The following is a 15,417-nucleotide window of genomic DNA, read 5'->3' on the forward strand; positions in this document are numbered from 1 at the left end:
CTCAGCATTGTATTCTAAGTACCTAAATAAGAACCTCCATGAATTATCAATATTATCTCTGTGTCACTCACATAGGGCCATAAAAGAAAGCAGATAAATGATAATAGCCTTTAGTCTTCTATTAAAGTTCTGTGACCTTTAAGTTACAGAAACTTGGGTTGTACATAAATTATCTGCAAGCCAAGCTGACATGGTGATAGAGTTAAGCTGTAAAAATGGCCAACCTCACAAGTGACTCAGTTGGCCAAGAATGATGATGGACAAACCGTGAATAATGATGCATATCCAGGACCACTTCTAAGCATATAGATCACAGGCAGCACAAAAATGCTTTGACTGAGGATCCATCAGAGGCATCTTTGCTTCCAAATACTGTATTTTTCCACTAGCCAGCCCAGTAACTGAAAACCTAGAGGCTTTCCTTGGGTTGAAACATCTTTGAAATACTTTAAACAACAAACATTACCTGAGAGGGTTCTTCATTAACTCAGTAGCATCCTTTGATTCATTTATTGATTCATTCATTAAACATTTATTAAGCTTGTACTGTGCACTTGGCAGTGAAAATAGAAATGAAGGCTACACTCACCTCTTTCAGTCAGCACCCAGTCTAGCTGGAAACATGGAGGGGTTAAAAACATGTCTTGGGGAAAAAGGCTGTGGAGAAGAGATTCAAGTGTCATGAGGACCCGGAGGTGGAGTGCCTACACCTGTAAGGAGTTAAGGTATGGCTGATGGTATATGAATTCTATCTTATAAGTAACATAATTCAGTGTGAAGATTTTAATTGGGAAATGATATCATCAGATTTGGGTGTGAGAGCTAATACTGAGGCAGCAATATAAAGTAGTGAATGGGGACAACAGGCTGGGGAAGTGGAAATATGGAAATTAAGAAAGCTATTGCAATGCTCTAGGCAAGACATGATAAAAACATGAACTCGGCTGGTTTAGTGGGAAGTTAAAGGAGGTTTTGGATTCAAGAGTTTATTTAGGAGTCAGGATCAGCAGTAGTTCTGATTGGAACTTTGGGTATGAGAGGTTTCTGGCCAGGATGACTGCATATCTCTGTTGGTGCTGTTCATAAAGAGAATATGATAATCAGGTTTGAGGGATGGGGAAAGTGATGAGTTTGCTGTGGAAAGCTGGGTGAGAGCCGCCAGTGGATATGGAAAAGAAGGTGGCCAGTAGGCACGAGGGCACAGACGCAGGGACTTAGCAGGAATGAGCTGGGCTGAGTGGCAGACTTGAGTGCTGTGTCACCAGCACAGAGAGGTGGTTGGGGCTGGGAGTATGAAGTCCATTTCCTTTTAACTGTTACATTACCAAACATCTGACAGAATCTGGATAGCAAATAAACACACACTACAAATGCAATCACAAACAACCATGTACGTACACAAAAAGCATCATATTATGAAAACATGAACACACTGTGTTTTAGTGTTAACTTATGGGAAATTATTATCTTCTATTTAAAATGTAATAGCTTCCAAAGAAGTAAAAATGAAGATTTGGGGAAAGAGTATGAAAGTATTCTCCGGTGTTTAGCAAAGGTGTTTTCTCATGACTTCGTTATTGACAACTAGGGCTTTTGGAGTTTAATGGCATATTATGAAGCTCCATATTTTGTTCACTGCTAACTGTTATAGGTGATTCTAACTTAATTACCTCTTTAAAAATTGCTATAGGTTCAGGTTCTTTCACATCCTCAGCAGCTGAGAGGATCAGGACTTCTTACAGAAACAGCCACTTGCACTTCAAGGCTATGTGTGTGATTCCATGGTTCATTGATAATGTGCCATTTTTCTTCCTGAAAAAAGTTTTGTCTCCTAGGGCTCCACTGGGATATGTTAAAAAGGCACAAGTGCTATATTACAGAGTATTGGAAATGCAGAAATTACAGGGTTTGGCTTTTAGTTATCTGAGTGTGTTTCTGTTTCTTTTCTTTTATTTATTTATTTATTTATTTATTTATTTATTTATTTATTTATTTATTTTTTAGATGGAGTTTCACTCTGTCACCCAGGCTGGAGTGCAGTGATCTCGGCTCACTGCAACCTCCACCTCCTGGGTTTAAGCGATTCTCCCGCCTCAGCCTCCTGACTAGCTGGGACTACAGGTGCCTGCCACCACACCTGGCTAATTTTTGTATTTTTAGTAGAGTCAGGGTTTCACCATCTTGGCCAGGATGGTCTCGAACTCCTGACTTCAGGTTATCTACCCACCTTGACCTCCCAAGCTACTGGGATTACAGGCGTGAGCCACCACACCTGTGTATGTTTCTGGAGCATAACTCTGAAGCAAAATATACAACTGTGATGCCCTGAGAAGAGAATGTTGTGTTAATTGTAAAGTTCAGTCATCACAACTTAGTTGGCTATGTCAAGACCTTGATGAAATACAAAAGAAAAATGTAATTTTAAAGGCACAATCCAATCAGAAAATAAAATTTATAAAAATATTTTTTGGGCCTGGCATGGTGGCTCACGCCTGTAATCCCAGCAGTTTGGGAGACTGAGATGGGCGGATCACGAGGTCAGGAGATAGAGACCATCCTGGCTAACACGGTGAAACCCCGTCTGTACTAAAAAAATAGAAAAAATTAGCCAGGCGTGGTGGCGGGCGCCTGTAGTCCCAGCTACTCGGGAGGCTGAAACAGGAGAATGGCGTGAACCCGGGAGGTGGAGTTTGCAGTGAGGCGAGATTGCGCCACTGCACTCCAACTTGGGCGACAGAGTGAGACTCCGTCTCAAAAAAAAAAAAAAAAAAAAAAAAAAATTTGGACTACATTCCTTACTTCCATGATTTTATGAAGGCTCACCAAGTGAGAATTTGAGATGAATTATTTACATTGATAATATTACTGATAGAGATAGAAATGTGTTCTTTCTTGTTTTCACTGTGAAGACACAGAATTTCATACAATTCCAAGAATAACTGTATGAAAGTGCCTTTTGGGATGCATCCTTGGTTTTTGGATTTAAATTGACCTCTGTTGGTTGCTGTTGTTAGTGCTTTCACCCTTGTGAAAATATCTTCATATATAAGAACCACATAGTCAAAGACAGTTGGAGGAACTAAAATGAAATTATTCCAGTTGAAATATTATTGAGAAATAAAATCATAGGATAAGAGAAACATTAAAAACAATGTCTAAAATCATTGTGTCAAAATCTGAAATTCACTCTCCCACATCCTTATTCATAAATTTATGGCTAAAATTTTAAAAACCCAGAAGTTAAAAATTAGAGGCCATATCAATGAAGAGTTGATCATTACATGTACATGTTTATTTGGTTCTATATTATAAATGTGCTGAGCAAAATAGTGTCAAGAAATACTATGAAATCACACATTTATTTATTCAACAGATATTTATTAAGGGCCTATTCCAGGTACTCTTCTGGATTCGATGTACAAGTCTCTTCCCTCTGGCAGATCTAATGGGTCAGGTAGATAATAAGCATGCAAACAACAAAATATTGTGTAATATCAGCTGGGGCTGTGAAGGGAACCAGAGCAGGATAAGGGGAGAGAGAGATGTAGAAAGGTGTCACTGTAGATCGAGTGTTCAGAGAAGGCTTCTTTCAGAAGGCAGCATTGAAGACAACCCTGAATAAAATGAGGCAGCCATTCCCTAGAAGAATTTGGGAAGAGCATGACAGGGATAGAAAATACCCACTGCAAATACTAAGAAGGATTGAGCTTTGGTGTGAAGTCAGTGAAGAGGGTGATAGGAGATGAAATTGCAGAGAGGGAGTGGCCAGACCACAGCAGGTCTTGCTAGCCTGCAAGAGGAATTTACATTTTATTCTCGTTGTAAAGGAAGACTGCAGAAGCTTCTGAGCAGGGAGGACTCCAAATGATTTATTTTGTAAAGGATTACACCAGCTGCTGTGAGATGCAGGCTTTGGAGCAGTGGTTCTCAAGAGTGTTCTTCGGAGCAGTGGGTGATTTTGTCTCCCAGGAGACATTCAGTACTAACATGTATTAACTAGAAAAACTATTAAACAACTAAAAGAGGGTTTAAAAAAAAAGACTCTAAGGAATGCAGAAATAGCAACTGAAGGAAACAGGCCTAAGACAGAGTAAACCAGGAATAAATAAACAGCTTGGAAGAGGGCCCTCCCCAAGGCTGAATGTGACCTCATCAGAGAGGCAGTGGCTGCCAGGAGCACCTGCCACGCCTGGAGGGAGGAAACTTCTTCCCGCAGACATAGGTTGCAGCTCCACAGTTAGTAAAGTGCTGGTGGCAGAGAAACTCAGTGAATGTGGCAGCCACACCATAGGAAAAAAGCCTACTGGAATCAAGAAGAGAAGCAACTTCATTTTGCTTTGACAAAGTCTAACACTGTGCCAGCTGGCAAAAGAGAAATATTTATAGGATCTAACTACAGTATTGCAACACTGGGCAGAGAAGGAGGGATTTGGTGCTGACAGGCAATGAAATGACAACTTGTATCATGCACCCCTTTTCAGGTTCCATATGCACACTTCCTCAGGCATTTAGACTCCCATAGGACAATTAAACACCTTTACCTTTTCACCTAACAAGATGCGGCTATTGTTCCTACAAGTGAAGACATTCTTACCCTTTCCTCCAAATGAGGAGACATACAGTCCCAATAGTCACTGCAACTGTCACAGAACATATTAGTTACTCCTCAAATTTAGTCATCTTCCACTGAGAACCCTCTACCCAAAGACTAACTTAAAAAGTTAACTTCCAGTGAGGATGAATCTTTACTTCCTCCATGTTGAGCCTCCTGTGTAATCAACCTGCAACTAGGTAGCTGGCTGTACCTCTAAAAGAATGATTCCATATTTGGGGCTAAAACATTTCTCTCTGCTGTTGGCTGATTAGAGACTCAGCAGTAGCAGCATCCAGGTCAGCCTTGATAAAGAGAAATCCATGTTGTTGAACCCATGATAGCCTCCATTCCTGTCACCATGGACATTTTGCTCTTGGGTTCATAAGTACCGTGGTGCTGGTGAAAGAGGCTGGCCAGCATCCATAGAAGTCATCATTTTTCCACCTGATTATTGAGATCCTCCATTGCAGAGAATGCTCTTTGATGAGTATTCATATGAGACATTGTGGTAGGCAGTCTGCCTGATGATGCCTGGTTCCCGACATTCATGCTCTTGTGTAATTCCCTCCCCCAAGTGTGTGCTGAACCTAGTGTCTTGCTTCCGGGAAATAAAATATAGCAGAAGTGATGGTGTGTCCCTTCAGAGATTAGTTTCTAAAAGACCATGACTTTTCTCTTACTGGTATTCTCTCTCTGGTTCTGTTTGCATACTTGTCCTGATAGAGAGGGAGGGCTATCTGCCAAGGAATCAAAGGTGACCTCTGGTTTACAGCAAGTGAGGAATTAAGGTCTTCAGATTCAGAAATGGAATCTTTGCCAAAACCATGTGAGTGGGCCTGGAAGTGGCTCTTTTCCCTCAAGACTTCACTAGAGATTGCAGACCTCGTTGATGCGTTAACTGCAATCTTATGAGACCATGAAGCAAAGGGGCCAGCTAAGCCATTATTGGATTGTTGTTTTAAGCCACTAAGTTTTTTTGGGGGTAAATATACAGCATAGATAACTAATACAGACACAAATATCTTCACAATCTATGTCCATTTTGAGAGACCTATCTATGTAACTCTTTCCCAAACTTCACTGTCACCAGTCTTCCAATCCTGTCCTTTGCACATCGCTTACCATTCAGCCAATCCTTTAGCTTTTGCCCATGAATTGATGTACAGTAATATTTCTGGCCACATGTCAGTCTGGTCAAGGCAGACCTATCTTGTTTCAAATAACATGAGAGATGTCTGAGAAATCAAATAATTAGGATTCAATTTTATTATAATTTTTGAGGGCTTTTTGAATGTGTTGTATGTTTTAAGATGTAAACTCAGTCACTTCCTCTTTAAAATGCTTACATATTCTAGGGTCAGAAATCTTATTCTCTGCCACTAGAAAGATGGTCATGATTTTTATACCATCAGCAAATAATCTGATTTCTGGGATATATCATTAATGTCACCAAGGGTTGATCTTTAATAGGCTACTTTATCTATTCCCATACCTTTTGATGCTCTTTATAGGAAAAGATATTCAAAATCTTTATTGTCTCTTCTGGGATCTCTTCTAATCTCTGGAATTAAATTTCCAATTTTCTCTTGAAATTTTCACCAGGAACGTCTTCATCACAAATATAATGAGTCTAAAATAATTCTTCACCTCTATCTTCTACAGACTACTCCTTTCATCTTCCAGCTTTTTCTGGCCAAATTTTTCATTTTCCTTTTTTTCTATCATCTGTAAATGGTATCATCCTTCTTCTAGTCTTGTAGACAAGAAATGTCAAAATTTCTCTTTTCCCAGACAACCATATGCTTTTGTGTCTTCATCTTTTTGCACATATATTGTCTGAATAGAACTGTCCTTATCCTCATTTTCTATATCCTTCAGGAACTAGCTACAGTGCCACATCCTCAATGACATCTTCCCTGATTTCTCCCAATTGACAAGAACAGTTCCTTTTAATGGACTGCCACAAGACTTTGCCTGAATGCTGCTTTGCCTTTATCACAGCATTTTATCTGGGATGGAATTTTTCTAAAGTGTGTTCTGAAGAAGACTAGTCCCTTGGAAGCATTCACATAGAGAAGTGTTCTTAGGACATATTAAGTCTAAAGAATTTTGTCTACTGCTCTTTGTCTTGGAGTTTCCTGATTTACATGAGCATACTGAAGATTCTAAAAGGATATGCAATAAAGAAAGTTATTTATCTTTAATCATTTTCACTTATTGTCTACCATTATCTTTCAGAGCTCCTTTGCCATATACAGTATCTGCTTTCTTATTGTTGTATTTCTTGGTACTCTACACATTATCTTATGCATTATAGTTACTTGATGATTGTTGACTGTGATGCATCTCCCTCCACACTCTGAGCTGGATGAATCTCAGACAACATTTTGGTAATATTTTCTTGTAGGCAATTCTGCTAGAACTTTAACCAGGCCATCGGGAACTAAAGGAAATGAATTATTAAACTACTACTGACTGAGAAATTAGAACTGCTTGAGGCAACTATTAGTGGAAGAAGTGAGGAAGATGAATACATGACACCACGGGAATTTAAATGGAACATTTATAAACTTTTGGAAGTATTACCACTGGCTTGATGAAAGAAGACATAAAAATGATAAGAAACCCAATATTCAAATGAAATATCAGAGCATTAGTTCTAGTGAATAAAGTACTGATGAGTCAGCCCAGTCAGAGAAGCATCCAGCCTCTTCTAGGCGGTCTATTCATTAACCAACTTTTAATAAGGTGCAGTTTGCCATGACGTGGTTGACTGTTGCGTAGTCCATGTAGGTACTATATTTGAAGAATTTAAATCTATTGTTACATGACTCCCTGTGCTCCTGGCCTGCCTTCTAAGATGGTAAAGAGGAATCCGTTTTCTCCTAGGCTTTTATTAATAAACTCAGTGGCCACGTTGCTGTGATCATTTTTCCCTTTAGCGCTGCCTTCAGAAGTACAATGTGCAGAAATTGGAAAGTGCTGTCATCCTTTTAGTGTCATCAAAAACATTTCATTTTTAAACAGTAATAACCAAGCTGCTCTAAGTGGCTTTGTCCCGAAAAAAATGAACTCAGATAAATGTTGCAGCTTATTTTATTATGTGAAATGCCTTCTGAAGAACATCTGTGTAAACAGAACCACATCATGCACACACTTCTGCCCTGTCACTTGGGCCCGGCAGTACCTTTATTGTCCATTACTCAGTCGTAATGATGCTCCTGGCACAAAGGGTTCCAATATGAAGATATATTTTGTGGTATTTTGACCAATTTGTATTCATCATCTTATCTTTCTAAGCTATAAAGACGAACTGATATCAGAGTGGCTTATTTAATCCTGTTTTAGCCTCCAACTTAAATTCTCTAAGTGAAAATGATTTATTAACATAGAAAAAATAACAGCTGACTATGTGGGACTAATCCTTCAGAAACAGCAAAAGCAGAAAATGATTCATAGGGGCTGGAAAAGGTCATTTCCTTACAATTGAGAAGTTCTTTCATCTTGAGGCTATTGGTTGGAGGTGCTACTAAGTTTAAACCTTGTAATGAACATAGGAGATCAACAATCAATAGAATGATACATTTCTTAAGGAAAATGTTTAACTTAAGATTGACTGGCTACTTATCAAACCTCTCTTTCCTTTGGCTCTTATGAAAGAAATGGATTAGACCCTAATTACAATTGCAAAAATCACATAAATATCTTTTATATTTGAATCTGAATGTTGGCTTGGCACTGAAATTGCATATAATAAAGCAATTAGTGGGATTTAGCTTTGACGATTCTTGACTGATGAATACATTTAAAACATTTTACTTGGAATTCATTCTGTGGCTTACAATTCCAGTATTGTAAAATCAGTGAAATCATGACAACATAAATGGTATGGACTGTCTTCTAATATATCTAAATATAAGTTCACTATGCTTCATAGCAACTCATTAACTAAACACATTTACAGATTTCTGGGAAGGGCTTCCAATTTCTTTTTCTTTTTAATAGACTTTCACTTTTTAGACCATTTTTAGGTTTACAGAAAAACTGAGCACAAAATACAGAGAATTCCCATCTTGTCCCTGCAATCACTTACCTTCACACACACAGTTTGTCCTACCATTAGCATCTTTAATTAATGTCTTACATTTGTTACAATTGATGAACCAATATTGATATATTATTAATAACTAAAGCCCCTAGTTTATACAAGGGTTCAATTTTTTGTGTCATACAATTGTACAGGTTTTGACAAATACATACCATCAAGTATCCACAGTTACAGAACTATGCAGAATAGTTTTGCTGCCCTAAAAATCTCCTGTGCATTACTTATTCATCCCTCCTTGTTCCCCATCTCCTGCTCCCTCAAACTTTGGGAATCACTGATCTTCTTTATTTTGCCTTTCCAGAATGTCATATCGTTGGAACCATACAGGATGGAGCTTTTTCTGACTAAATTCCTTCACTGAGCAATATACACTTCAGTTTCCTCCATGTCTCTTCATGGTATGATATCTTCTTTCTATCACTGAATAATATTCCATTGTATGAATATATCACAGTTTGTTTATCCAGACACCTACTGAAGAACATCTTGGTTGCTGCCACCTTTTGGCAATTCTGCATAAAGCTGCTATAAACATTCACATGCAGGTTCTTGTGTGGGCATAAATTTTTAAGTGATTTGTCTAAATATCTAGGAGCACATTTACTAGATGGCATTATAAGACTATATTTAGATTTGTAAGAAATGGCCACATTGTCTTCCAAAGTGGCTGTATCACATTGTATTCTCACTAGCAATGAATGAGAGTTCTTGTCCACCAACATTTGGTGTTGTCAGGGTTTTGTATTAGGTATGTGGCTGTATCTCATTATTACCTATCTTACAACTTTCTAAAGATAGAGAGCTTTGACCATTTTCCATAAGCTTATTTGCCATCTGTATATCTTCTTTGGTATTTCTTCTTCTGTATATCTACTGTGTCCATTAGAGCCTATTGAATATATGTGCTCCTGTCCCAAATTTATATGTGGAATCTCTAATCCCCAGTGTGATGATATTTGGAGGTGGGGACCTTTGGGAGGTAATTTGGTCATGAGGGTTAGGGATCAGTGCCATTGTAAGAAGAGAATGAAATAGATCTTACCACTTTCTCTCTCTGTTGTGTAAGAATAGCAAGAAGTTGGACATCTGTAAATCAGGAATAGGGTCCACACCTAGAACTCAATCATGCTGGCACCCTGATCTCAGACTTTCAGCCTCCAAAATGGTGAGAAGAAACTTTCTGTTGTTTAGGCCACCCAAACCATAGTAGTTTTGAGAGAGCCAGGTTGGAGGAGGTCCTCAGAAAAACTCCAACCGTCCTGTGCACTGGGGTGGAGCCTCAGGAGGTTCATGCCCTTTGCAGTGGGGAGGAGCCTGGCTCCTCCTCTTCCTCTTTGGAACCTGGGATTTGAGCTGCGGGTGGGAAGCACTCTAACAGGGACTCTGGCCTTGGAGAGGATCCCTGTTTCCCCCACTTTTTTCCCTTTCCACCCAATAAAACCCTGCTTTACTCATATTTCAAACCATCTGCAAGCCTAAATTTTCATGGCCGTGGGACAGACAAGGATCCCATCTTTAGCTGAACTAAGGAAAAGTTCTGCAACCATTTGTTGTAGCAGCCTGAACTAAGTCAGAGCCCTTAGCATATTAATTGTAGTTAAATTCCAAGTCTGATGGTTCCAAAATCTCTGCCATATCTGAAGCTAATTCTGATGCTTGCTTTGCCTCTTCAGACTGTATTTTGTCTTTTGGTGTCTGTTGTAATTTTTTGTTAAAATCCAAACATGATGTGTTGTGCGAAGGGAACTTTCGTTAATGAAGTTTTAAACTTAATCTGGCTAGGAGTTAGGCTCCATTTACTGCTTGTTGTAGCTATAGGTGTCAGAAGCTAAAATTTATTCTATCACCCTTGTTTTTGTCTCCTCTGTTGTTTATGGGTTTCCCTAGTGACCTCTCCTTAAATAGCATCTGTGACATGCAATTCTTTCAGTTATATTTCCCTGCTATTATACAGAAGCAGCTCCAATGACATGGTAGTAAAATGTAGAGGGAGAAGAGGCATTCTATAGTCCTTTGATTAGATCTCTGTTTTTTAGTGAACCTATGCATTTGGAGAGGTGACCCTAACAAATACTTCTTAGCTTCTCCTCTAACCGTCTTAGGTGAGTCAGTAAGGCTGGAGAGGCTGGAGTTAGGTATTTCCCTCTCCTAGCGATGAAGGTTAGAAGAGGCTGAAGTTGGGTATTTCCCTTACTCCACATGAGTTAGGCTGGTAAAGTAGCTTCCATTGAGGGCAAGCCTTTGCTAAGAAGAACAGAAGCTCTGGATGTATTTCAAAATTGTTGCCTTTCCCCTCCCCATGCAGGAAGCTGGAAGGAATTTTTATTTTATCTTCATAGTGAGAACCTGGTGGGATTCCTGGTGGTAAAAGTGATAAAAGTGTGGGGACCTCCTAAGGCTGTGCCCACAGAAGTTTTTCTCTCTCAATCTAGTCCATGCTCATTCTTCAGCAATTGGTCAATCATTCCTTCAGTGTTTCAACCAGTTGCTGGCCTTAGTTGTGCCTCCACCCCCTGTCAGCTGTGATCCTCTGTATCCACCTATCTCTCTCTCTGTAGAGTTTTGGACTGGTGGCTTGCCCTCCATCCTCAATTTTTGGGTGGATCTAAGAACAGTTGGTGATTTTCAGAGCCCAACTTTGCCATTGCTATGAGGACATGAGTGATGACTCCCAAACTTTTTACATGTCAAAGTGAACTAGATGTCTCCTTCTTGTATTTTTTCACTTTGCACATTTTATGAAACAGAACTTTAATACTTTGACCAAAAGATGTTTCTGACTTTGAATTGAGTATTTTTCCTGAGTTTTCCTATTAGCATTATTACACAAACATCATTTAATGTGATGACTTACATATGCATCCTAAAATCATAACCAGATATCACATATACAGGAAAATGTCAAAATCCACAATTGGGGTTTTAGTACTTTACTTCTGAGAGTATGAAGGAGCATCAAGACAGAGACAGTCTTTGCCAAATTTTCCCCAAAAAATAGCATAGTGGCTTTGATGGAAAGCGAAGACAGGCTTTTCAATTCTGTGTATAACATCAACCCAATGACGTGCTATGGACAAGTGATTTACTTTTATTCTGTCTCAATTTTCTCCTATAATAATAGTAGTAACAGCAAGAGCAAAGAAAAGATGTAATGAATACTTATTATATCAAGGCAGTATTCTTAACTCTTTACCTGTACTATCATTAAATCCTCAAAGTAATCTAAGAGTTGGAAAACATGAGGCATAAAAAGGTTAAGTGATTTATGCAAGGTTGCACAGCTAGTAAGTGGTGCAGACTCGCTCTAAAGCTCTCCTCATTAAACATGAGAAAACAACCCAAACTCCGTGTGATGATGGAAGTGAAGAGTATCCTAGGCAGAGGAGTAAGAATGAGTAAGCTTATTTCTACCCTCAGGCCTTTGCAAAGATAGAAATAAGTCCTAAATGTTTGAAGGACACAAAAGTCCAAATTGACTAGAGCAAAATAAATAAAGTAAAAAAAAATGGAAGAAGATGAGATTAGAGAGGGCTTGTGTCATAATAGCTAATGTTTATCAAGTTCTTTTAAGTATTCGGTGCTGTTGTATTTTATATTCGTTTTCTTTTAATTCTCAAACAACACTGAAAAGTAGTTCTAATAGTAATCATTACTGTTGCTATTAACACTATTGACAGTCAAAACACATGTGACATAATTTTTTTAAAAAACTTCAAAATAACTTATGGATAAAAAAGAAATAAGGAAAATGACAATTTTTTAAAAGATCTGACTGCCACAGTGCATATAAGACTTTCAAGATATAGGTCAATTGGTACTTTGAGGCAGATAGAAAAATAAGTAAAAAGTGACCATTGAAACAATCATTGTAAGAATTTGGAAAGGCAGCAAAGTAAAAGCCCAAGAAAGAAAGAAAAAATTATTTTAAAATTTTAATAAAAAATAAAGAATAGGATCAACAAAACAAATAGCTCAATCTTAGAGAAGTCTTTTAAAATAGTCCTTTCAAACCTCTGGCAAAATATATTAAGAAAAAGTAAAGTACAAATAAGAATATTAAATATAAAAGTGGCCAAGAGTAGAGTTAAAAATATTTTTAAAACAACAAGCTATGGTATTTGCAAAATAAAAAATACCATAAAGGGTTAAAAAGAAAAGCTAAATAACGACATACCAAATAGATAAATCTGAATAAAAGCAAGGTGAAGAAGCACAGGTAGATGATGATAATATTTATGTAAATGTTTAAAATACTCAAAGGAATATTAAATATACTTTGGATTAAAAAATGTACTGTAAGTATAAAAGCATGGATGGAAAAGACACAAAACCAACTTCAGAACTGTGGCTGTGATTTCAGGTGGAGAGCAGTATTTACACTGATTTCAAGGTATGGAGATTCTTGCAACAAATGTGTAATGCAGATCTGGACTCCAGACTCATTAGAAATAAAAGGCTCAGGTATTCATTTTGGGGTAAGATTTTGTTTCCTTCAACTAAGCTAGGTATAATTTTCCTTTTCTGCTCTGAACTGCTGGGGGACTTTTTCTGCACTGGGGTTTGTGCATATACAGGGGTCTCAGTTTCACCTTCTTGCCTCAAGTAGTTAAGTCCCATCTGCTGGCTTTCCATGTGTTATTTAAAAAATAGCTTTGTTGAGATATTGTAGTAAACATGCAACACGTTTCCCTGTGTCCCTCTAGTCCTCTCCCCGTCTCTCCTTTTCCTACTCCCCTTCCCATCCCTTTTCCCAAGAAAAAAACTGATATGATTTCCGTCACAATAGATTAGATTAGATTTTCTGCCATTTTATGTAAGTACAATCATATAGAATATACTCTATTTTTTTGGACTGGCTTCTGTTGCTTTGCATAATTACTTTGAGATTCATCCATGTTTTAGTGTGTATAAATTCTTTATTCTTTTTTGTTGTTGAGCAGTATTGCATCGCATGAATATACTGCAGTTTGTTTATCTATTAACTGGTTGATGAGCATTTGGGCTGTTTTCAGTTTTTGGCTATTAGATATAAATCTACTATGAGCATTCATGTATAAGGCTTTGTATGAACATATATCTCCTTTTCTTTACAATAAATACTTAGGAATAGAATGGCTGGATTACATGGTAGATGTATATTTAATTTTTAAAGATACTATCAGTCTTCCAAAGTGGTTGTGCCATTTCATACTCCTAAAGTGTATGAGAGTTTCAGTTCCTCTGTATTCTTGACCACACTTGGTATCATCAGTCTTTTTAATTTTAGCCATTCTAATAAGTGTTGTAGCAGTATTTCTTAAAGGTTTTAATTTGCATTTGCCTAATAATTTATAATGTCAGGCAGCTTTTCATGTGCTTATTTGCCATCCAGTTACCTTTTGTGGTAAATTGTCTGTTCACACATTTTGCCTATTTTTAAAATTCGACTGTTTGTTTGCACATTACTAAATTGTGAGAAATTTTAAAAATATTCTGCATAAAGATCCTTTATCAAATATGAACCTTACAAATATATTCACCCAATCTGTAGATTGTCTTTTTATTCTCTTTAAGCAGAAGTATTTAATTTTTGATTAAGTCCAATTTATCAATTCTTTTTTTTTTTTTCTGAGATGGAGTCTCGCTCTGTCGCCCAGGCTGGAGTGCAGTAGCACGATCTCAGCTCACTGCAAGTCTACCTCCCAGGTTCATGCCATTCTCCTGCCTCAGCCTCCCGAGTAGCTGGGACTACAGGCGCCCACCACCATGCCCGGCTAATTTTTTGTATTTTTAGTAGAGACGGGGTTTCACCGTGTTAGCCAGGATGGTCTTGATCTCCTGACCTTGTGATCCACCCGCCTCAGCCTCCCAGCGTGCTGGGATTACAGGTGTGAGCCACCGCACCCGGCCTATCAATTCGTTCTTTAACAGATTATGCTTTGGATGTTGTATCTAAGAAACCTTAGCTTAACTCAAGCTCACAAAGTTTTTGTCCTATGTTTTCTTCCAGAAGCTGTGTAATTTTAGATTTTACATTAGACATATTGTCCTTTGAGTTAATTTTTATATATAGTGCAGTATAGCTTAAAGCTCGTTTTCTTGTTTAGCGGATATCTGTCTGTTCCAGTGCCATTTGTTGAAAAGACTATTCTTTCTCCACTAAATTGTCTTTGAATGTGTTGAAAATCAGTTGTCCATGGATATGTGGGTCTTTTTCTGAAGTCTTCATTCTGTTTTATTAACTAAAATAGTCTATCTTTACACCAGAAACCACACTGTCTTGATTACTATAACTTTATAATAAGTCTTGAAATCAGGTAATGCTAGTTTTCCAAACCTGTTTTTCTTTTTTTGAAGTTGGACAGTTATTCTAGATCCTTACATTTACATATGAGTTTGTTTGCTTGTTTGTTTGTTTGAGACGGAGTCTCTCTCTGTCACCTAGGCTGGTGTGCATTGGGTGATCTCGGCTCACTGCAACCTCCACCTCCCAGATTCAAGCAATTCTCCTGCCTCTGCCTCCTGAGTACCTGGGATTACAGGCATGCGCCACCACGCCAGGCTAATTTTTGAATTTTTAGTAGAGATGGGGTTTCACCATGTTGGTCAGGCTGGTCTCGACCTCCTGACCTCATGATCTGCCCACCTCAGCGTCCCAAAGTGTTGGGATTACAGGCGTGAGCCACCGTACCCGGCCACATGCGAGTTTTAAAATCAGTTTCTCAATTTATACTCC

General features: G+C 38.2%; 1 long non-coding RNA gene across 1 annotated transcript; it reads left to right on the top strand.

Annotated features, from left to right (window-relative positions):
* Window positions 1–403: 403 nt before the first annotated feature.
* LOC107986943 (uncharacterized) lies at window positions 404–13,177 on the top strand. The gene is made up of 3 exons (XR_001745899.2): window positions 404–725; window positions 9,004–9,100; window positions 13,063–13,177. It is a non-coding gene; the product is annotated as an uncharacterized LOC107986943 (long non-coding RNA).
* The last annotated feature ends 2,240 nt before the right edge of the window (window positions 13,178–15,417 follow it).

The sequence above is a fragment of the Homo sapiens genome, chromosome 8 (assembly GCF_000001405.40).
Source record: "Homo sapiens chromosome 8, GRCh38.p14 Primary Assembly".
Taxonomy (NCBI): Eukaryota; Metazoa; Chordata; class Mammalia; order Primates; family Hominidae; genus Homo; species Homo sapiens.